Source organism: Homo sapiens, chromosome 1, assembly GCF_000001405.40.
Source record: "Homo sapiens chromosome 1, GRCh38.p14 Primary Assembly".
NCBI classification, from domain to species: Eukaryota; Metazoa; Chordata; class Mammalia; order Primates; family Hominidae; genus Homo; species Homo sapiens.
The window spans coordinates 182393366-182416824 of NC_000001.11; the positions used below are offsets into that span (position 1 = coordinate 182393366).

The following is a 23459-nucleotide window of genomic DNA, read 5'->3' on the forward strand; positions in this document are numbered from 1 at the left end:
CTAGGTTCAAATCTGGGCTTTCCCTTCATACCAGCTTTGTGTTGGCCAAATCACTTAGCCACATGAAGCCTGTTTCTTTGTCTATAATAAAAGAGGGATAATCATTTTTACCTCATAAAAGGATTAATTGTGATAGCACATGCAGAAGAGATTGAGTAGTCCTTGGTGCATCGTAAATGTTTAGAAAACAGCAATTATAATTATCATAGGCCAAGTTCTATAATCTGAGGTGATTGGATTCTTTCTTTCCCCATAGCGACTTTTGAATACAACTTTTCTGACTCAGTGTAATGCTTTACCATTCATTATATCAAACTGGACTTAACCTTGGTAACACAGTGAGCTGTCTTCATCTCTTTCTGTAAAGGTTTGAGTTTAAATGGTCGAGGAAGGGGAGCAAAGGAGGAGAAAAGTGATATTTTTATTTTAAAAGATGTTATTAATCATTTCCAGATACCAAACTACCGAACCATAAGCCAGAGCCTCTGCTGCACACACCACCAGCCCCTGAGGTGGGGATGACAAACATAACAGAGAACGGAATGGTAAGGCGTGAGTGCGGTTCTGCAGGCTTATGGTATTTCTGCCATTTGAGTGCCTGCTTCCCTTCCTAGATGTCTTGACCTCATTGAGCAGTTTATTCATTGTCATATCCCCCAGTAGTGTCCACGGTGAGTGTTCAATAAATGATATTTGTTAACCACACAGAAGTGACAGCAGCACCATCAAGAGAACATGTGCTTTGAGCTGCTTTTCCAAGAATGGAAATGGATTTGCTTTGATCCATTCATGTGACCAGGGGCACGCTTTGTAAGGGTTAGGAACATAATACATGACCACTGACTCTTTCAGGAGTGAACAAGAGGCCTTGTCCTCCTTGGCCAGCCCCACATTTACTTAAAATGATGAAATTAGGGCGCAGATGAGTCCAAGAACTGACCAGGGAGGCTTGAGCATAGGCGAGAAGTAAAAGCAGAAGAAAACCCTTAACTGGTTCACCCGCAGAAACCCAGACTGTACTTTTAGAGAAGTTAAAAGTAAAACAGCCTGTTTCATCCAGTTTGACTTTGCTGTGTCTGCTGCCCTTTCTTCTCCTTCCCCTTCTTCCCTAAATTGCCACCCGCCCCCATTCTTCACCCCCACCATAAAAAGAGCATTAGAATGCTTGAACCCATGAACTTTTCTGTTTCTTGGTACACACCATATCAGTGCTGACAAGGGGTTCCATTGCATGTGCTTTGAAGTCATATTTTTCTCTCTTAGAGTAGAATTGCCATGTCCAAGGGGTGGGTGGAGTGGGAGAGCAATTACAGGGAAAGATTTTGTTCCAAATCTGCAGAAATAGCCTGAGATTAAAAGTATTTCTTCAATGTTGTTCTGCTGCCTGAAATAAAAGCTTTGTATTAGGATTTTGCTCTACTCCCAAATCTTATCTCTATTAGGAAACAACTTTTCTCTTTTTTTTTTTTTTTTTTTTTTTTTTTTTTGAGACGGAGTCTTACTCTGTTGCTCAGGCTGGATGCAGTGGCGCAATCTCGGCTCACTGCAACCTCCACTCACTGTAACCTCTGCCTCCCGGGTTCAAGCAATTCTCCTGCCTCAGCCTCCCAAGGAGCTGGGATTACAGGCGTGTGCCACCACACCCAGCTAATTTTTTGGTATTTTTAGTAGAGACGAGGTTTCACCATATTGGCCAGACTTGTCTTGAACTCCTGACCTTGTGATCCGCCTGCCTCGGCCTCCCAAAGTGCTGCGATTACAGGCGTGAGCCACTGTGCCCGGCCCTTTCTCTGTCTTTTAAAGGATCCATTCTCACTCTGCAAGTATGAAGTCCTTTACCTGGGGATCTGGAGTGCCTTCCCAGGGCCTGTGTGGTTGCCTTATACACATTAGACACAAAATTTAGGGTAGGGCTCACATTGACCAAACCTTTTCTGTTTAGGAAATGGAGTTTTCCCTGTGTATGAATGATTTCAATAGGCATTCAGTGAGACCTTTAAATCATGTTAAAGAGATACAATTGAGACTCAGGGTTGGGGAACACCCTGGAAACCCAACCCAGAATTGTAAAATATTCTTTTAAAAATTATTATTATGTAATAAACCAACATCAGTTCTTTCCAAAAGAATGGACCATAGTAGAATCTTAAACCAAATCAAAATAATAATAATAAAAATGAAGAAGAAAAGAAATAGCTCTGGAAGTTGATAGCATTATTCTTAAACCATAATTTAGGGAAAAGCTGTAGTTGGCCAAGCTTTCAAATTTCACTTTATACAATTAGAGAAGGAAAGACTACATTTACATTATACTTCAGTTCAATAACTAGCACTAAGAATGGAGGAATTGTTCTTTACAGTTTTTGATTGTTTGATATTCTTCAGTTCAAGACAGGAAATTGGAAATTCACGTCTCAGCCATATCTGTAGCCTGATTTGAGTTTTGTAGGATGCGTGCTGAAATCAGTCAAATACAAGGAACACTTCATTTCCCCAACTGCGTGTTATGATGGAAGGTTTGGGTCTGTTTGAGCTCTACCCTGAATCATGTCTCTAGCAGGAAACTACGTGGAAAGTTGGGAAGAATCAAGTTCATCTTAGTTAACAACCTGGGGAAAATGTCCTATTGAGAAAATTAAAGCCATACAATTCTAGAATTAGATCTTCACATCATTCTATCTTAAAGATGAGGAACTGAGGCTTAGATAACTCATAGTAACTTGATGAAGTCATGTTTGGTTAGTATTTTAGAGCTTAATGAGCTTTCAAGGTGCTGTTCTTTTTCTGTTCCCTTTCCTTTAGTCGCTTTGGTCTGTGGGTGATCTGTTCCGGGGCCACCATCTCTAAAATACTGAAATTCCTACAGTCCTCACTGAGGGAGGTGCAGAGGACAGGGAGCAACCATTTACCTCTCAATCCTGGGTATGCTTACCCAGTGACTTCTGTATAGCAGACACTCAATATATATTTTCTTTGTGAATAACTAGATTAGCAGAAAAAAACAACACCATAGGAAAGATTCTCTTTGAAGGACTCTTTGGAGATCATTTTTCACATCTGATAATCTGCCTCCAGTTTCATTGTTTTGTGAATCGGGTTTTTTTAGATACATTTTGTCCTTTATTCTCAATTTACACTGTACAGATCGTTGTTCTGTAGATTGATTGGAACATTATTGAAGCTAATTAAAAAATTTAGAGAATTTAGCATTCTGATCAAAAAATTATTTAGATCAGAGTATGTGCTTTAGTTGGTACCATTCCCAAAGAAATCCTCAATGGGATCCACAGCCCTTCCTCCCTCCCCTCCCACCTCATTAGTTAATTTGGATCCCTGTTTATTTCACATTGACTCGCCAAATTTTAACAGGAAACAAACAGCCCTAGGGTATGTTTTCTGGATGCTTGGGCAATTCTTAGTCTGCTTCTGGATTTTTCCTGTCCGTTCTCCTCTTCCACTTCTTTTAAACCCGTTCTCCGGAGACTTGTTTACTGGGGTTGGAGAATCAGAAGCTTGGCCGGGGTGGTGTGAACCTAGTGCCCTCTTGTGGAATTTTGTGAGAATGACAAACTCCCCCAAAGCTTGAGTGCTTTGAGTTTTTTCTTGAGTAGCCTTTAGTGGGAGGACCTTTCTGTTACATCTTAAATCTAGTAAGTTAATAACATGCAGGCTTATTGCCTACACTGAATATTTGAAAGCTATTATGTTGGGGGGTATCACTTGATTACCAGAGGCTTATTGTTATAGAATTAAGCCTCATTACAGGAAACAGGCAGCTAAGTGTTTGTGCTTTTTCATCACCTCCCATTAATGTGTAAGAGAGGTAAAGAGAAAAGGAAGGCTCCCAAAGAAAAGTAATTGAAAAAAGGCTAGGAACCAAGAGTAAAGGGGAAATGGCAAACTTTAGAAGCCTTGGTCAAAAACAAGTCTTATCCCCAGCTCTTGCTTTGGATCTGAGCCCAGAAATGTAAGACCCAGCCAGAAGTTGAGAGTCTGCCAGATTCTCACCCCCCGGGGGAGATGGGGGTCAGGGTAGGGGACAGAAAGTGTTGCATAAACCCACTCCTAAGGGAGGTCTAGGGTGTTTACACTGTGCTGTTTGCTTTACCTGGGCTTTCTGGCTTGTTTTCTTTTCTTTCTTTCTTTCTTTCTTTCTTTCTTTCTTTCTTTCTTTCTTTCTTTCTTTCTTTCCTTCCTTCTTTTCTTTTTTCTTTTTTTTTTAAGACATAGTCTCACTCTGTCACCCAGGCTAGGGTGCAGTAGTGCAATCTCAGCTCACTGCAACCTCCGCCTCCCAGGTTCAAGTGATTCTCCTGCCTTAGCCTCCCAAGTATCTGGGATTATAGGTGTGGGCCACCACACCTAGCTAATTTTTGTATATTTAGTAGAGACAGGGTTTCACCATGTTGACCAAGCTGGTCTCGAACTCCTGACCTCAAGGGATCCGCCCGCCTTGGCCTCGCAAAGTGCTGGGATTATAGGCGTGAGCCACAGTGCCCAGCCGTCTTTCTTCTTTCTTTCACAATTTCATTTTTTTCATTTTGAGATAACTTGTTTCTCCATTGCCATTAGCAAAGTCACTGTGGCCCAGAGGACACAGTCACACTTGCGTCAGACACACCTGCACTTAAATTCCTGTGTTGCCTCATACCAACTGTGAGACTTGGGCAAGTCAACCTGCTGGAGTCTCAGTTTTCTAGAGACTCCTTATAGAAACATTTGTGAGGATTAAAAACAATAACAGAGTCAACTTCAGAAACAAGTTACTGGATTTTATTATACCCCAAAACAAGGAAGAGAGTGGGTGCATTACTAAGGCAGTGACTCAGTGTTCAGGACTGTTGTTGTCACCCAGAGAGATTCACAAAACCTCCAACCTGTCCAGCAATACATTTAGAAGAAACAGGATTAGGGAAGACTCTGGAAGCAAAGAAGGCTTTATTAAACATAACCATGATCCATAGCTGGAGTATACATAGGAAATTTGGTAACTTGGATAAGGCAAAGTCTTTTCCCTTTAGGAGCCTGTACTTTAGTGGGTGAGGAAGAACCTTCTGAAAGAAAATGATTTCAGCAGCAGTATAAAAGAAAGTGGGTCACCTGTATGAGCAAACTAACAAAGCAGATTTAATGTAAGTGCCCAAGAGTTCCAAAACAAGGGAATCAGTAAGAGTTCTGGAGAAGGCCACCTTGGGGATACTTGGTGCGGTGTGGGGGTGGATGTAGGTTTATTCTGGGAATCGAATAACATGGTAAATATGTGACTGTAGGATGACTGGCTGTGATTTGCAAGGAAAAGAAATTTGCAAAGACCCAAGAATGGTATCTGCTAAATTGCATGTGCAAGGGTGGTCATGGTGAAAAGGAAAGTTTGGGCTAGAATAAGAGTAATAAAATGAGAAGTCAGGGAAGTACCAAGCATTTGAATGCTATAAAAATGCTATAGCAGTTGAATTCTATACAAATTTAAATTATGGAAATTTGAAATGTTATTAAGTATTTAAAAAGTCTCACTTTATATGTAAAGTTTGAAATGAAGCCAATTCTTGAAAGCTGCGGAGAGAGAAGGAGGCAAAGCGAGCATAATTTCAGCCTGTATGAATTAATTATAAATTCTATCATGCTATTTCCACATGGTGGCACCACTTTGGTGAGCACGTAAAGTACCCACTTTTCTTTATCAAGATGAGATTTGAATGGGTCCAGTTTTGAGTTGTGAGAAGTCTTTATTCCCTCAGGTAAAAGGCAATCCCTTGTGCCTGATGACGCTAATGACAGCATAACTGCTAGACTCTGTTCTCCTCCCTTCACAGCTCTTCCTTTTGTTGCATTCTCTTCCCCCAGTGGCTTTTCTTGCACACTAAGAAGAAGTGTTCTCCTCGTCCTTTTCCCTCCCTCCCGCAAATCCCATCAGCGTCTCTTTCTCAATCCCTCTCCCCTTATCTTCTCAGTAATTAGAGGCTCAGGGACAGAAAATGCACCAGCACGGGCATGGTGGCAGGCTCCTGTAATTGCAGCTACTCGGGAGGCTGAGGCAGGAGAATCGCTTGAACTCGGGAGGCGGAGGTTGCACTGAGCTGAGATTGTGCCATTGCACTCCAGGCTGGGCAACAGAGCGAGACTCTGTCTCAAAAAAAAAAAAAAAGAAAAGAGAAGAAAAGAAAATGAACCAGCAGACGGGACCAACTGCTAGCCTTCAAGGCCATTACCTTTACCAAGGAGGGTACCATGCTCGTGGCTGAGGAGCCAACAGGAGGAAGATGAGGTGGACGATGTGCCAGCCACTGTAGGCCCTGTCTCAGGGGGAGCTCTTTGGAAGGAGGAGAGCCTGGTCCTCTTTCTCTGACTGCTCCACTTCCTGTAGCAACTTGTAGAGGGGTCCTGGAGTGCTTGCATAATATGGAGCTTCTTTGGGCCCAGTCAGCTTCAAGCTGGGTCTGAAACAATGATACCAAAAGGAAGAGAAGCCATAGATTCCCAACAGGAATGAGGCATTGATCATCACATGCCAGCAGAAGAAGGTGGTGACAAACATGATGTCACTGATGTCATCGTCCTGCCATGGGTAGCCAGAGACGGGTCTGTATAGAATAAAGCCTGCCTGCATCAGCCAGGAGCCCATCATCAGAATCAGAAAGGTCTCCATCAGCTGGAGATGACACATGTTGGGAGCCCACAGCTCTGCAGTCAACACCAGCAACAGCAGGAACACCACCAAGATGAGCAGAGAATAAACGTGCAGCTCCACCCCTTCTGAATCTTTAACATGTGACACCATCAGCAGCAGGAGCTCGTAGATGATCAGGACCAGGGTACCTTTTTCTAGGCCCACACACCTCTGAGGCAGCACATTCTTGCTCATGAAGTCCACACAGCCATTAAGAGTGAGGAGGATGAACATGGTGAGGTGCTGCCACTCTTTGGGGTACATGAACCTTGATGGCACTTGCTTCCTCATGAGCACCATCCCGCCATCAAGACAGAGAACCACATAAAATGTTAAGAGGGAGCCAGTCACTATCTTTAGTAATCCTCCATAGGCTATTTTCCACAGCCTGGCACATCTTTGCTTATTCCTGGGAGAGCACAAAGGATACAGGAGACAACCTTTGAGTATCATGCCCTTGGAGACCACTGTGGCCTGATATAGTCCATAAGAGAAAAGAAATAGCCCCAGTTAAAAATGGCCAATGGACTTTCCCATGGAATACAGGCCTGTCCGACTGAAGCGTGAAGAGCAATACTCAGGACCTCTCTGCTCTCCTCTCCCTCACAGGCCTCTCGAGTTCTGGGCCTATATATACAGAGCTAAGTTCTACCTACTTTTATCATCTCCTTCTGCCCACTGCTCTCTCACAGACTGGAAAGTTCTGGACAGGAGCCTAGGTTTTTAGTGAGGTGGGTCTCATTGTTCCATTTCATTCCAGTACACTGGGAACTAATTGAGTTCTGCCAAAGTAGAAACATAAATATTTTTTAGTATGCACCTGTGGGAATTTGTGCTCTCAGGAGCTCTGCTTTTGGACCCTTGAGGACCTTCTGGTTACACTTGTCCCTCTCTCTCATGGCTTGCTTCCTTCTGCCCCTGTTCAATGCTCGGAGTAGAAAAAGAGAGGTGCCTGAGCACGGAGATTATCCAGAGAAGACCCGGGTTACTCACAAACCTTAATGCATCCTTTAAGACTCCTTACTCGGACAGGCATGGTGGCTCAAGCCTGTAATCCCAGCACTTTGGGAGGCCAAGGCAGATCTCGAGGTCAGGAGTTCGAGATCAGCCTGGCCAACATGGTGAAATCCCATCTCCACTAAAAATACAAAAACTAGCTGGGCATGGTAAAGAGTGCCTGTAATCCCAGCCACTTGGAAGGCTGAGGCAGGAGAATTACTTGAACCCGGGAGGCGGATGTTGCAGTGGGCCAGGATCATCTCACTACACTCCAGCCTGGGTGACAGAGCGAGACTGTCTCAAAAAAAAAAAAGACTCCTTACTCATATGTTGGGTCATATACTGAGAGCAAATACATTCTTCCTAGACATAAAAGTTTATAAACGTTTGGATGTGTGCTCATATATATAGATACTGAGCTCTTGTCCTCTTCATTCTTCTGTAACAGTTTTTGGGGATCACAAAGAAAGCAGCTCAATTGCCCCAAATTATCTTTCCAAAGAACAGTAGATGAATGTAAAATGTCACCTTTTGAGATCAATTTTGGAATGTTAAGGTATAATTTTTTATTAAAATGCAGATATGTTGAGATAAGTAGATCCAACAAACTGCTTATATTTTAATGTGAATTAGGTCCTCAACTTTATTCTCTCTTTAATTATCATTTACTATGTGTCTAACACATATAGGCAGAAAGAGTTCTAAGCACTAGGTAGCAGCCAGCTGCATATGAGGGGTTGCATCCAAGGCAAGAGTCTTCATTTATTTATTTTTATTTCTATTTTTATTTTTATTTTTAGACAGTGTCTCGCTTTGTTGCCCAGGTTGCAGTGCAGTGGCTTGATGACGGCTCACTGCAGCCTCAACCTCCTGAGCTCAATCAATCCTCCTGCCTCAGCTGCTGAGTAGCTGGGACAACAGACATGAGCCACCACATCCAGCTATTTTTTGTAGAGATGAGGTCTCACTACATTGTCCATGCTGGGTCTCAAACTCCTGGGCTCAAGTGATCCACCCACCTCAGCCTCCCAAAGTACTGGGATTACAGGCGTGAGCCACCGTACCTGGCCCCATTTATTTATTTATTCATTATTTTTTATTTTTTAAAATGAAAGCACATTTATTAAGAAAAAAAGGAATAAAAGAATGGCTACTCTATAGGCAAAGCAGCCCCCATTTATTTTTTTTATAAAAATTAATGTCTATATAGCCCCTCCTTATCCATGGGTGATACTTTCTAAGACTCCCAGTGGATGCCTGAAACCTGGGATAGGTTAGTACTGAACCCTACATATACTGGTTTCCCCATACATGTATACATACCTATAATAAAGTTTAGTTTACAAATTAGGCACAGCAAGAGATTAGCAATAATAACTCAAAATAAAATAGAACAATTATAAAATGATGCTGAAATAAAAGTGTGAATATAATTTCTCTCTCTCTCTCTCAAAATACTATAATATTTTCAGACTGCAGTTAACTGTGAGTAACTGAAACCTAAGAACATGAAACTGCAGGTAAGGGAGGACTACTGTATTTAAAGTGTACCACATTTTTTGTTTGTTTGTTTTTTGTTTTGAGACTGAGTCTGTCTCTGTTGCCCAGGCTGGAGTGCAGTGGCACGATCTCAGCTCACTGCAACCTCTGCCTGCTGGGTTCAAGCAATTCTCCGGACTCAGCCTCCCGAATAGTCGGGACTACAGGTGCATGCCACCACACCGCTTAAATTTTCTATATTTTTAGTAGAGATGGGGTTTCACCATGTTGGTCAGGCCGGTCTCGAACTCCTGACCTCAGGCGATCCACCCACCTTGGCCTCTCAAAGTGCTGGGATTACAGCCATGAGCCACCATGCCCAGCTGAGGTTCATCCATATTGTTGCAAACAGCAGGACCTCCTTCTTTTTTAAGGCTGAATAATATACCATTATATATATGTTTCTTTACTTATCCATCTGTTGGTGGATCCATCTGGGCTCAAGTGATCCACCCGCCTCAGCCTCCCAAAGTACTGTGATTACAGGCATGAGCCACCATACCTGGCCCCAACTTAGGTTGTTTCTGTATCTTGATTATTGTAACATAAGAGTGCAGATATCTCTTTGAGATACTGATTTCATTTAATTTGGATATATACCAAGGAGTGGGATTGCTGGATCATATGATAGTCCTTTTTTAATTTTTTGAGAAACTTCCATACTGTTTTTCATAATGGCTGAACCAATTTACATTTCCACCATATTGTACAAGGATTACCTTCTCTCCACATCTTCAGAAATACTCGTTATCTTGTGTCTTTTTTATTATAGCTCTTCTAAGATGTGAAGTGATATCTCCTTGTAATTTTTGTTTGCATTTTTCTGTGATTGGTGATGTTGAGCACATTTTAACATACCCACTGGCCATTTATATGTCTTCTTTGGAAAAATGTCCAGAAATGCAGGTTCTTTACTCATTTTTAAACTGGGTTATTTGTTTTGTTGTTTTGAGTTGGGACTACATTTAACCAAGAAGGCGAAAGATCTGTATGCTGAAAATTATAAAACATTGAAGAAAGAAATAGAAGAAGACACAAATAAATGGAAAAATATCCCATACTCATGGATTGGAAGAATTAAAATGTTTAATATGTCCATACCACTCAAACCAATCTATAGATTCTATACAATCTCTCTCAAAATTCCAATGGCATTTTTCACTGAAGTAGAATAAGTAATTCTAAAATTCAAATGGAAACACAAAATATCCCAAATAGACAAATCAATCTTGAGAAAGAAGAACACGTTGGAGGCATCACACTTCTGATTTCAAATTATATTCCAACACTATAGTAATCAAAACATTTTATGTCTGACATAAAAACAGACACATAGACCAATGGAACAGAATAGAGAGCCCAGAAATTAAACCTATGCATATATGTTCAACTGATCTTCAACAAGAGAACTAAGAATACTCAATGGGGAAAGGATAGTCTTTTCAATAAATGTCTTAGGGAAAACTGGAAGTTCACATGTAAAAAAATGAAATTGGACCCTCATCTTATACCATATACAAAAATTAACTCAAAATAGATTAAAAACTGAAATGTAAGACCTGAAACCATAACCCCTATAAGAAACATAGTGGGTGGTCAGGTGTGGTGGCTCATACCTGTAATCCCAGCACTTTGGGAGGCTGAGGCGGGTGATCACTTGAGGTCCAGAGTTCGAGACCAGCCTGGCCAACATAGTGAAGCCTGTCTCTACTAAAAATACAAAAAATTAGCCGGGCATGGTGGCACACGCCTGTAGTCCCAGCTACTTGGGAGGCTGAGGCAGGAGTATCACCTGAACCTGGGAGGCAGAGGTTGCAGTGAGCCGAGATTGTGCCACTGCACTCCAGTCTGGGTGACAGAGTGAGACTCTGTCTCAAAAAAAAAAAAAAAGAAGAGGACGTGTGACCTGACCTCCCTCATTATTTGATGCCCTGTGCTGTCTCAGGACTCTTCAGGGAGTCCTCACCAACAAGAAGACACTCAGCAGATGTAGACCCTTGTTGTTGGCCTTCCCAGTCTCCACAACTATAAGAAATAAATTCTTTTTCAGTTTCAGGTATTCTGTTACAAGCAACAAGAAATGGACTAAGATGCCATATATTTGGTAAGAGGCAAATTTCCAAAATATGTGAAAGTCTTCATTTAGAGGGTGTGGAGAACAAGGTACAGGGAATGTGAGGCATCCCTAGGCACACAAATATTTCTGGGTTTATTACAGAGGGTACATGGAATAGGAATTTCTCTGAGGGTGATAAGTGTGCTTAGGGGAGAGGAAGTTCATCATAGAACATAAACCGTGCTAACTTTGATCCTCCACATCTTGTATCATCTGTCCTCATGATACAAGCAATGCTGTAGGGCAAAGAGACAGCATCTGTGTGCTGACACCCCCAGTGGGGACAAGGAGAGTTTACACCTAGGTCACAGCACTGCCTCTGAGCTCTCTCTCCCATCCAAGTATGTCCCCACTTAATCCCATCTCATCCAAATATTTCTCACACTTACTTAATAAAATTATGTGCTGCCTAATAATGGACCACATATTCAACCATGGTCCCATAAGATTATAATGGAGCTGAAAAATTTCTGTCATGTAGTGACATCATAGCTATCCAACATCATAGGTTAACACATTACTCACGTGTTTGTGGTGATGAAACCGTCCATATAAATTTTATAAATTTAATCAGGGAAGAAGGAAGGGGGAGAAATAAAAATAAACCAAGCTTGCGGCACATTCAGCATTAATCATTAGGTGAGCTTGCTCTCTGACCTGCTTCCTCATAGTTTTTTGCTGTCTATCACCCCAGAATCATGCAGAGCCTAGATTGTAGTTCTCCTTAACTGCTCTATAGGCAACAACTTGAGCATTGTGAAACATTACGTTTTTCATTTGAGATATTCTTTCAGGTCCTATATATCAGTGAAACTACTGATGTCAGCTAGTCCGAAAGACCCCACAAAGAACTGACTCACTAAAGAATTCAGTCTCAACATCCTGATGGTTTCATCGCCTTTACCCCAACCAATCAGTTACCTCAATTTTCCAGCCTCTTGCCCTCCATGATCCCCTTAAAACTTCAGCCCAAAATTCCTCAGGGAGATAGATTTGAGGGTTTCTCCTATCTCCTCACTCAGCTGCCTTGCAATCCTTAAACTCTTTCTCTGCTGCAAACCCTGCTGTCTTGGCATATTGATCTGTTGCTGCACAGTGGGCAAATGAACCTGTTGGTCCTGTAACAGTAATGCTGGCATAAAAAAACCTACTGCACTGCCAGTCCTATAAAAGCATACAGTAATGTCCCAGGCCTTCACATTCACTCACCACTCACTGATTCACCCAGAACAACTTCCAGTCCTGCAAGCTCCATTCATGGTAAGTGCCTTATACAAGTATACTATTTTTCTTAATCTTTTATACCATATTTTTACTGTATATTTTCTATGTTTAGGTATGTTTAAATACATAAATACTTAGCATGTGTTACAATTGCTCACAGTATTCAGCACAGTAACATGCTGTACAGGTCTGTAGATTAGGAGCAATAGGCTATTCCTTTTAGCCTGGGTGTGTAGGAGGCTATACCATCTAGGCTTATGTAAGTACTCTCTAAGATGTTTGCACAATGATGAAGTCACCTAATGACACATTTCTCAGCACATATCCCCGTCATTAAGTGACACATGATTGTATCAGGAAAATCCAATCTCTCTATACCCTGGTGGGTGGAGGCCACTTTTTGCCAGTGGGAGAATGGAGATTTGCATGTGAAAATACTGTAGGAAAGAGAGCATAAGATTGCTTTCCAGAGGGACTTGACTTCCTTATTCCATTTTAACTTCAACCTTTTTTTTACATATATACAAATGTGGCATATACTGGCTAGCAATTCATAGAATTTGTTTCTTTTTCTTCTTTTGTTTGCCATCCTTCCTTGCAGTTAGATGCAGGCTTATAACTGAGTCCTAGCCAATGAAGTGTGAAGGAAGTGATATATATTACTTTCTGTTCTTACCCATAAAATCCTCCCTCACATACTTTTCTATGCTACTTTTCTTTCTTCTGGCTTAATACAGAATATCCCAGCCTAGTTAAAAGTCATATTTTGTTGAGGATGGAGGAGCTCCAAGGTATAAGGGACAGATTTCCTGGATTACTCATTGTAGGAGGCTTATACGCAGATCATGAACACTCATTTTGGACTATGCATGAATATAAAAAGAAATTAACTTTTTTAAAATTAAGGAATGGAAATTATTGCATTTGTTTGTTAGTGCAGCTAGTTCATCCAAGCTAATGCAAAGCTAATACATAACCCTTATAGAAAAATCTGGAAAAATACAGAAGCCAAAACTGAGAGAAAAAGAAACACTTGCAATCCCATAACCTGATGATAACCACTGTTGACATTTTGTTGTAGAAACCCAGCTTTAGGAAGACAGGGTGATGAAATGGAAAAAAAAGATTGACTGGAAATTAGGAGATCAGGGTTTTGGTCCCAGTTTTCTCTTAATTAGCAAAGCCTTTATTTCCGTTAGAGGAAGGAATGACTTCGACATGTGTTTTCTAAATTGAGAGAGAGAACAGGGTTGTTGCATAGAAAGGGAGTATTTATTACCCCACAATTGTCTTCTTTTAGCTAGTGGTCAAAACATTCAGAAAACTTCAAAGAGCTGCATGCTTAGGGAGAGGAGGTACAAGGGAAGCTGTGGGTGTGACTTTGTGATGGAGCGGACCAGGGAGGAGAAATGGTTGGGATTCCCTTTGGTTCTTGCTTTTGCTCTGGGAAATCACTGAACTGCCCTGAGGAAAAGTGGCTCCTGGTGTAGTGAACTCCAATGCTCCTATAAGTGTTTACCATCAGCAAAGAACCAGTGCCTGCTTCTGAGTAACCTAGTTCTACCTAGAATGGACTGCAGGCATGCAGGTGGGCTGAATTTGTTCACTAGTAATATTACTTCTACTGCCTTTGGGGCAGTGGGTCTAGGGATGCAGTGGATGTGGGGGACAAACAAATACCATTCATCTTCTGGCTACCCTATTTAACTCCTGAAAACTGGAACAGGGATGTCGACAGTCAGAGGAGGAGAAGGGCAGAAGTGTGCACTAGAACACCAGATGTTTGAGGCTGAAAATGATATGGATGCAGAATAAATAGCCCCAAAATAACCTTCTATCTGTGGTGTCCCGTCCCCCTCCTTGGCCAGGCATCAAAGCTACATGTTGTTCATTTAAAACATGAACATCCTGATCCCAGGACTTTGAAGATAGGAATCACCCATCCCAAACCAGACACACTGCCCACAGTAGCTGAGAAAGAAGCCAAAGGTGGTGAATGATTAGCAGAACTGCAAGACAGCTCCAGAATCTAAACACAGAGTACTGGGAAAGCTGTTTTGTGGGGGAAACTCAGACTGACCAAAAGAGCCGAGGAGGTCCTTTGTGGCCTGTCTGCTCCATGGTGAGTCTCCCCCAACGCCTGTCTCCCCAATGCACCATCCCACAGTCCCAAGGGGCCCCAGGCACAGCCTTTACCACTGTGTCTAGCATCATGAAATGCTCCAGTGAGCAAGAAGGTCCTCAGGAATCCAGTAAATATGAATTTACTAATTGTGACGTAATCTTGTCCTCACAGAGCTTACAATATTGCTAAAAGTGTAGTACACATACTCACACACTACATATACAAACCTATATTAAAGAATTATTTAGAATTACAGAGTATCATGCTGAGTAATGTGTAGAATGCATTTTAGAGGATTTCAATAACAAGATTTGTTTGTGGGGTAGATACAAGTAATCATCTCTAGACATGTCATAGAAAACTGCCCGTTACTATGTTTTTACTATAAGATTCTTTCAAAATCACCTTTTTAATTTGTCCCACTTTGGTTGCTTAAATTTTCCTCACTGTGTTTGTCATCGTTAATGTTTGTAACTCATTTGATTTCATTAGGGAATAGCTCCAGGAGAGGGAAGACCAGCTGCCTTCATCAGGAACTCACAGGTGGCATTTCTATGGGGAATCAGCACAAGGTCAGAGTCCAGGCCTCATCTGTCCAGACTTTTTTCTTAATAGTTCAAACATGGGTGAGCTACTGTAGTAGCACAAACAGAGAAATGTTTTGTTTGCTACTCTAGAACCACCCTCCACCCTTACCCACCCTCTATGCCTCTGGAGGCTGTACTTTATGGATGGCAATAACAACCTTCTTCACATTCTGGCTTCTGGTTGGGTTTGTTAAAGGAAGGCACAGGAAGGAGGAAGGAGGGTGGTGAGCAGGAGGAGAGTGGGTCTGACGTATCCATTCCCAGGTAGCCTCTCTGCTGAGTGCAGAGATTGTTTACATCACCTACAGAGGGCCCCAGCTCCAGCAGGAGGCCAGCTCCTACAGCTAGAGCTACCCCTCAGGTCTGGTCAGCTGCTTCCCTGTACCTAGGTGTGGTTAGTGGCTCTTTACTGTCGCTAACCCTTGGGTATGTTAGCTTTCCTGCCAACAGTGTTTTAAATGGCCCCTTTAGTTAACACTTAACAGTTTTACCCCTTTTGAGTGTGCAATTCTAGATCAATGATTGATAGAGTAACAGATATCAAGAGTGGCCCTGAAGATAGAATTCTGGGACTAGGTTGCTCTCACACTTGAGAAATTCATGGATAACCTCCTTGCCAGGGAAAAGGAGACATTTCATTTCCAAGTTATGGTGGCATCGCAATTACACCATTATTGCATGGACTGAAGTGCAAGTGGAGGACAAGGGGTTGGGAGAGGAAGTGGCTTTGGCAAATTGGTAAGATGATGACAATAATGAGTATAAAAATTTTGGGTCAGCTAACTCCTTTTGGTGCCCTAGAGCTGTGCTGTCCAGTCTGGTAGCCACTAACCACATGTGGCTATTTACATTAAAATTAAGATTAATTAAAATTAAATGAAATTTAAAATTCAGTTCTTCAGTCACACTAGCCACATTTCAAGTGCTCAAAAACTGCATATGGCTAGTGACTGCTATATTATAGGGCAGCATAGGTAGAGAACATTTTTATCCCTGCAGAAGGTTGTATTGGACAGTGCTGCCCAAGAGAGTGTACAGAGTGAAAAGAAAAATTGAAGGCCTTAAATACTCAATTCAGAAGATGGGTGGGAAATGAAAGCACTTTTATGCCATCTTTAAAGGAATCCCTTATTTCTTATAGTTTCATGGCAGATATGGCAAAGATGACATCAAATGCTGTATTGTATGGCTTGTACAGTGGCAGAACCAATTAAATGCTTGCCCCTGCCAGTCTCTAAGACTAAGTTAAGGGCATTGGTGGGAGAAGGAGTGAGATCCTGAGATATGAGAGGGAGAAAAGGTGAGGCTGAAAACTTTGGTTTTTTTGTTTTGTTTTGTTTTGTTTTTTTGAGACAGGGTCTCACTGTCACCCAGGCTGGAGTGCAGTGGCACAATCTCAGTTCACTGCAATCTCCACCTCCCAGGCTCAAGTGATCCTCCCACCTCAGCCTCCCGAGTAGCTGGGACTACAGGCCCACACAACCACGCCTAGCTAATTTTTGTATTTTTAGTAGAGACGGGGTTTCACCATGTTGGCCAGGCTGGTCTTGAACTCCTGACCTCAAGCAATCTGCCTGCCTCAGCCTCCCAAAATGCTAGGATTATAGGTGTGAGCCACTGCGCCTGGGCAGGCTGAAAACTTTGAACTCCCCAATTCCATATGACCTCCTTTTTTGATTGAGGAAACTCCTCTTCCCACCAGAGAGGGCACCTTTCTCTGTATGGGCACGTTTCTCTGTATAAACACCTTTCAATCACTGCACCTGGGAGAATGCCATCCCCGTGGGATGCTGACCTCTGTAGGATTCACTCCCACTTCTCTAAGTACCTCCAGGACCATAACAAGAGTAGGTCCAAGGTAAGGATGTACAAGACCTGGTCTGAGGTGGGAGAGGAAACTGATACACTACAATAATTATGAGACTTTACCAATCAGTTTTGGCCAGAGTTTGGGGAGCATGGCTATGAATGAATCCTAAAGCTATTTGACCATCTAAAGTAAAATTGAAGAGCTGACTTAACCACATTCCTTGATATGAGTTTACTTCCCTGAGATTCTGAATTTAATATGTTGGCTTGAGCAAATAGAAGTAGTACATACAGTCTGCTAGGTTGGCCAGTTGAAACCTGGACTCAGTGGTGGCCTACAGTCAGTGGAATTGACATTTTGGAATGTCCCTGGCAAACATTAGAGAAGCACTGCCAAACAGAACTTTCTATTTCTACGATGGAATGTTCTGTAGCTTGTGCTGTCCAGCACAATAACTTCCAGCCACCTGTGGCTATTGAGTACTTAAAATGTGGCCAGAACAACTAAAACACTGAATTTTAAATTTTATTGTTACTTTAGTTAATTTAAATTTAGCACTTGGGGCTAGCAGCTACTGTATTGGATAGTGCCACTCTAGTTTAAGAAGTCTGAAGGCTCAGGGGAATTGGCAATGTGGGATGAACCTATAAGGGGCAACTAGCTCAGCCACCCCTTAATCATAATCCCTGGAGGGTTTGGAGGAGACTTCCTTTTTCTTCTGATTCTACTCTGGCTGCAGTCTAGAGTCTCTGATACATGGAGTTACCATTCACTTCTTACTAGTTTTTCCATTTTTATTTTTATTTTCTCTTTAACACAAAAGTTACCTAGAAGAATGTCTTAATTTCCAAATAAATTATTTTGTTTTCTTTTTACCGTTCTTTTTATGTTGATGTTACTTCTGTTTTGAGCGGGGCGGGGGGGAGCAAGGGGATGTATTTTTTTCTTAATAAATATTCCTGTGCAGTATGCAAATTTTCAAAATAATTCAAATCTTCAAAATTAATTCAAAATAATTTTTATTAATTTTGTATATGATATGATTATTTCTGAAATGAATGTATTATGTTCTTTGACCATGGCTCTGTATTATTTCTCTTTATTTCCATCAGCATTTATTTAATGCACATATTTATATATACAAAAATATAATGCCACATTGTCAATGCATTAAGATTCATAACTTATATCTTCTTGGTGAATTGAATACAATTGAAAGAAAAATATCTTTGTCCCTCTTAATTGTTAATGCTTCTCATTTCATTTTCTTTTGTTAGATATTAGCATTATAGCATGTGCTTTCTTTTACTATTTATCTAGTATACTTTAATGCCTATTTTTCAGCCTTTCTGTACCCCCTTAGTTTAAGAATATGTCTTAAATATTATATAGTTTAACACTATAGCTTAGAGTATTCAGAAAATCTGTGTTACTTTGACAAAGGAATTTAAGATACTTAAATTTATTGTGATTATTCATGTATTTAGACTTACTAATATATTTTGGACCCCAGTTCTTCCTTTAAAAAGAATTCCATAGGAATGAGTAACTTACACTTACTAGAATTAAAATTTCCCCTAAAACAAAGATAAGTATGTTAGAATGGAAGATTAGAGAAGTCTGAGATTGGGGACAATTTACCGTGTCTCTGTGTTCTCCAGCTTTCCTGACTCCTCCAGCTCCAGCTTTGTCAAACTTTACAAACAATCCCATTGGATCTTAAGAATCTTGACATGCCATAGAGGCATGTCACAGGCAAAGATGTCCTTGGTTTCTCATAGCACCAATAGTTTGTGTGAAGCCCCTACTTTTTTATTCCTCAAATAAATGAATTTTATATATAAGATTTAATTAACATCAAGTCCTCACCTCGCTGGTACCTCACTCAGAGCAGCACCATCTAATGCAGCAGTTATTGGCTAGTGTCTTTTCTTCCTGTTAAGAAGGACAAGGTGCAATCCCAGCACTTTGGGAGGCCAAGATGGGCGGATCACGAGGTCAGGAGATCGAGACCATCCTGGCTAACACAGTGAAACCCCGTCTCTACTAAGAATACAAAAAATTAGCCTGTAGTCCCAGCTACTCGGGAGGCTGAGGCAGGAGAATGGCGTGAACCTGGGAGGCAGAGCTTGCAGTGAGTGGAGGCCGCGCCACTGCACTCCAGCCTGGGCGACAGAGTAAGACTCTGTCTCAAAAGAAAAAAAAAAAAAAGACAAGGACATTTTGAGATACCCTAACAAGCAACACAGTGAGGCATTTAGTGGTACGGACTCTAGGACTACTCCTGCCATGGTTGGAGCCTCACCTTTGTCTTGTTTTCTGCCATTCAGTAGTTATAAGAGCTCAGGCCAATAGCTTAACTTCTCTCACTTCAGAGGGTTACTGTTACTGTATGGATTAGAAGACATAATTTATGTAAAAATACTCAGCACAATCTTTGTAGTAACTCAGAAAATGGTAGCTGATATTAATAATTATTAATAATTGGTATCTTAGTCCTTTTCCAGGACTCTAGATGACACTTTTTACAAAAATTGTCATTTCTTTCTTTCTTTTTTTTTTTTTTTTGAGACAGATTCTCACTCTGTCGCCCAGGCTGGAGTTCAGTGGCACAATCTCAGCTCACTGCAACCTCTGCCTCCTGGGTTCAAGTGATTCTCCTGCCTCAGCCTCCTGAGTAGCTGGGACTACAAGGGTGCATCACCACGCCTGGCTAATTTTTGTATTTTTACTAGAGACGGGGTTTCACCATGTTGTCCAGGCAGGTCTCGAACTCCTGACCTGAAGTGATCAGCCCGCCTCGGCCTCCCAAAGTGCTGGGATTACAGGTGTGAGCCACTGTGCCTGGCCAGTTATTTCTTTAATACCCCAAGAAGGAGAACTGAGGAGCTCCTTGAATACTTAAAATATCTCTATAAAGAGACATAATTGGCTTCCCCTGATATTCTTAGCATCCCCCAAGCTGACTGAAGATATCAGCCCATGAACAGAGGGCCTGAGGTTTAAACAGGTGCCACATTTGCTGGCCTCATACTCAGAACCTCTGCCCTATTTTTACCTGTTTTGTCTGCAGTTGCTGCATTAAGACCTGGCCTTAATGAAATATTTGGTTCTGGATCTTTTCATGTCCAAAATTAACTTTAATGAGCAAATAGGGAAAGATCAAGAGAGCTGCGGCTGGGACTTAGGAGAAACTTTGAAGCAGAAGCCAGGATGGGGTAGATGCCCTCTGGCAACTGGCCAGCGTTTGCTTTTGATGACAGCGAACCCTCAGATCTAGTTCATCTGAGCTGCAAACAAGGGGCTGTGGTACCAGCATACCTGAGATTTCATCTTTTGCAATGCCTCTGTGTTTCTCATGCAACCAACATGTGTCAAACACCTACTGTGAGCAAGAAACTTCTCTAATGCTCCTATGAAATTCTTTGGGTCATACCTAGTTGAATGAGACACTGTTACTCTTCTTAAGGATTTCACATTCTAAGAGAGGAAAAAGATGTACATAGGTGGCCACATTAGGAGAAGACGGTGACATGTCATAAAAGAGGTAAAAGTCCCATCTGATAGAGGAAGATGCGCTTGCTTCCACCTTGGAGTCATCTGAGATGGCCAGATGCAAGAGTTAGATGAGAGTTGCCCTTTTAAGAATAATGGGGGTCGGGTGCAGTTGCTGACACCTGTAATCTCAACATTTTGGGAGGCTGGGGCAGGAGGATCACTTGAACCCAGGAGTTTGAGACCAACGGGGCAACATAGTGAGACCCTACTCTACAAAAAATAAATAAAAAGTTAGCCAGGTGAGCGTGGTGATGCATGCCTGTAGTCCCAGCTACCTGGAAGGCTGAAGTGGGAGGATCATTTGAGCCCAGGAGGTTGAGGTTGAGCCGTGATCACATCACTGCACACCAGCCTGAGCAATGGAGCGAGACCCTATGTCAAAAAAAAAAAACAGTGGCCCTTTAGGTGGAACACACAATGTGAGCACTGGCAGGAAAGTCCAGGGAATGTTCTGGGAGAAGCAAGTTATACCTACCCTGTTTCTTCCATCTGTGTTTTCATGGGAAAATCTCTCAATCAGTTTGAGCCTCGTTTTCCCTATAAGTTAAATAAAGCTAGTTCCATCCACTCCTCAGAATTGTAAAGGTCAAATGATTTGTATTGTAATAGGCTAGGGTGGTAGATCATTGTATATGCTCAAATAATGGTGGTTAGTGTCTCTCACATGTATTTCTGTTTCTCCTTCTTTATTCTAGTCCTTAAGCTGGTAAGAAGCAGATCTCCAAGACTTTCTACTGGGATATGGAGTTTTGGGGCAAAAAGGAGAGTGGAGATCAACACTAATATTTATTTATTCATTTTTAAATAATACACTTTCAGATAGAAGTTGAGAAGTACTGATATTTAAATAAGGAGGTTTGGGATTGCCAAAGGCAGCCCCCAGCAGGGGCAGTTCCCTTCTGTCATAAAAGGACCTCAGCGTCCTAGGGAGAATGAGTTCTGGCTTGGAACCTCCAGACTGAATGCTCCCACCGTTCCCCTCCTTGTTACAACTTCCCCAGTGGTGTGATCTTTTATTCCCAGTGTCCTGCCACATTCACATCCCCAAAGAACTCTTTTTTCAAAGACATTTCTTTCCCTGCCTCCCCAGTCTGAAGATGTTCCCAGCAAGGTGCTTAAGAATTCATCAGATGCTCTGTTCTTGGCAGCACTGGTCTTCTGGGTATGGCTCAGGAGCAGTAGACCTCCTTTGGAGCCGTATCTTGTCATTTTCCATTTTTGGAATTCATTTCAACCTACATTTGAAACAAGATCTTCACAGTAGCCAATCCTCTTGTCTCTGAGTTTCAGCAGAAGCTAGTAATAAAAGTGTTGGTGGGAAGTCCCACAGTCATTCCAAGGCATGGTGCTGGAGCGCCTATGCAGGAGTTTGAAATACAGTGCCGCCATCAGTCTTTGGTCATCCCCAGCTTTAGCCCATGTAAGGAATAGAGGTTGGCAAGAGGTTGACAAGGGAGATTTCTCTGCAGAGAACTGTCAGTGTCCTGTGCACTCTCTGCAGCCCACCCTTCCCCTGATAGTGGGAAAGATGAGGGGTACCCACCCCTGCCCTTCAACCACGTGAGAAAGGCTTCAAGGATGCCATGTGGAGAGCAGGCGTGTGTTCTTCGGGGTCTGAGGGACCAAGAGGCTGTGTCTGACCCTCATGTGGGGCTGGGCCTGCCTGGTCAGAGGGAGGAGGGGCTCAGAGTGGGAGTTGAGCACACACCCACTGATGGGAGAAGGGCAGTGGCAGTTGTCTGTAGGGTGTATATATGAACCCCAGGGAAGCCAGCAGCATTGGGATCTTCTTCATGGGTTCTTCCCCCAGAAGACACCCTGGAGGGGTAAAAGAGACCTTTGGAGTTAGAGGAGGAGTAGAAGGCTCCTCCTTCTATTTCACTGTCTGGAAGAGGGGTATTGGAGACATCAAGGATACCTCAGTGCTTGATCTCAGGATCTCTGCAGCAGCCACAGAGACACCTCTGGAGAGAGATGACTCAGAGGACATGAGCAAATGCATCAGCCACAGAAGACAGTGCTCTTTCCCCAGTCTCTCCTCCCTGGGCCCCGGGGGAGCAGGATAGCAGAGGGCAGTTACAGAGTGGGTAGGAGGTGAAGCCAGGAAGAGAGAAGCTGACCAAGGCCCTGCCACAGCCACCTCCAACCTCTGAAGGCTCCTCAGCTTAAGCAGCCCAGCAAGGGGGAGGGGAGTTTTAAGTTGGAAAGATGTTTATAGTTTAGATATTACCTTGAATTGGGATGAATTATTTGATGACTATACTGGACTGGACCTTTGTTATCTGAGTGACTGAGGTTTTTCCCCAAGAGCAAAGAAAATTAGTTCCACAAGGCAGGTTTATAGGGGGCTGCAGTAAGAAAGATAAACTGCTTTCAGCCTGCACTGGGATGGGTTGAGCTCATTTCGTTAGCCACAGCTTGTGTCATCTACCATACCATTAGGAGCTGTCTGAGCCACAAAGACAAGACCCAATACCTGCAATTTAGGAGCTGGTAGAGAACAGTGACAACTTTAATAAAAGGCACACCCTTGGGAAGAAAAGAATTTTGGGAAAAGACTAGGAGTTTACATGGGGGCATTTAAAGTTTGAGCTGTTCAGAATAGTAGGAGTGATAAAAAAATAAAAATAAAAAATTTGAGATGCCTGAATGATGTTTAAGTATTGATGGCCGTTGCTGGTTATAAAAGTCTGAAGTTCAAGGAAAGGTCAGGAAGAGAGTATAGATAGATTTGGGAGTTAGCATATAGTTCTAGTGATTTTCAGTGGAGTAGGTATGAGGAACTATGAAGAAAGTGAGATTTTTCTCCAATTTACAGGCTAACAAGTTAGCCT

At 42.2% G+C, this 23459-nt stretch overlaps 1 protein-coding gene and 1 long non-coding RNA gene across 2 annotated transcripts, besides 1 other annotated feature; one reads left to right on the top strand and one right to left on the bottom strand.

Moving 5' to 3' along the window:
• Nucleotides 4752-7302, bottom strand: TEDDM1 (transmembrane epididymal protein 1). The gene has a single exon (NM_172000.4). It carries the CDS (start codon nt 7118-7120, stop codon nt 6299-6301), a length of 822 nt encoding a protein of 273 aa, NP_741997.3. The 5' UTR covers nt 7121-7302; the 3' UTR covers nt 4752-6298.
• Nucleotides 10783-10964: a silencer, noted in NCBI's record as "fragment chr1:182373283-182373464 (GRCh37/hg19 assembly coordinates)". NCBI's record gives its function as "represses an EF-1alpha promoter that drives an FKBP-Casp9 reporter gene in an ReSE screen in K562 erythroleukemia cells {active_cell/tissue: K562}" and the evidence as "EXISTENCE:reporter gene assay evidence [ECO:0000049][PMID:32094911]".
• LINC00272 (long intergenic non-protein coding RNA 272) lies at nt 14256-21448 on the top strand. The gene is made up of 4 exons (NR_034131.1): nt 14256-14667; nt 15163-15242; nt 15878-15995; nt 21321-21448. It is a non-coding gene; the product is annotated as a long intergenic non-protein coding RNA 272 (long non-coding RNA).
• The last annotated feature ends 2011 nt before the right edge of the window (nt 21449-23459 follow it).

Coding starts and splice junctions, on each gene's coding strand:
- TEDDM1 (NM_172000.4), bottom strand. CDS start 7,120: ATGATACTCAAAGGTTGTCTCCTGTATCCTTTGTGCTCTCCCAGGAAT.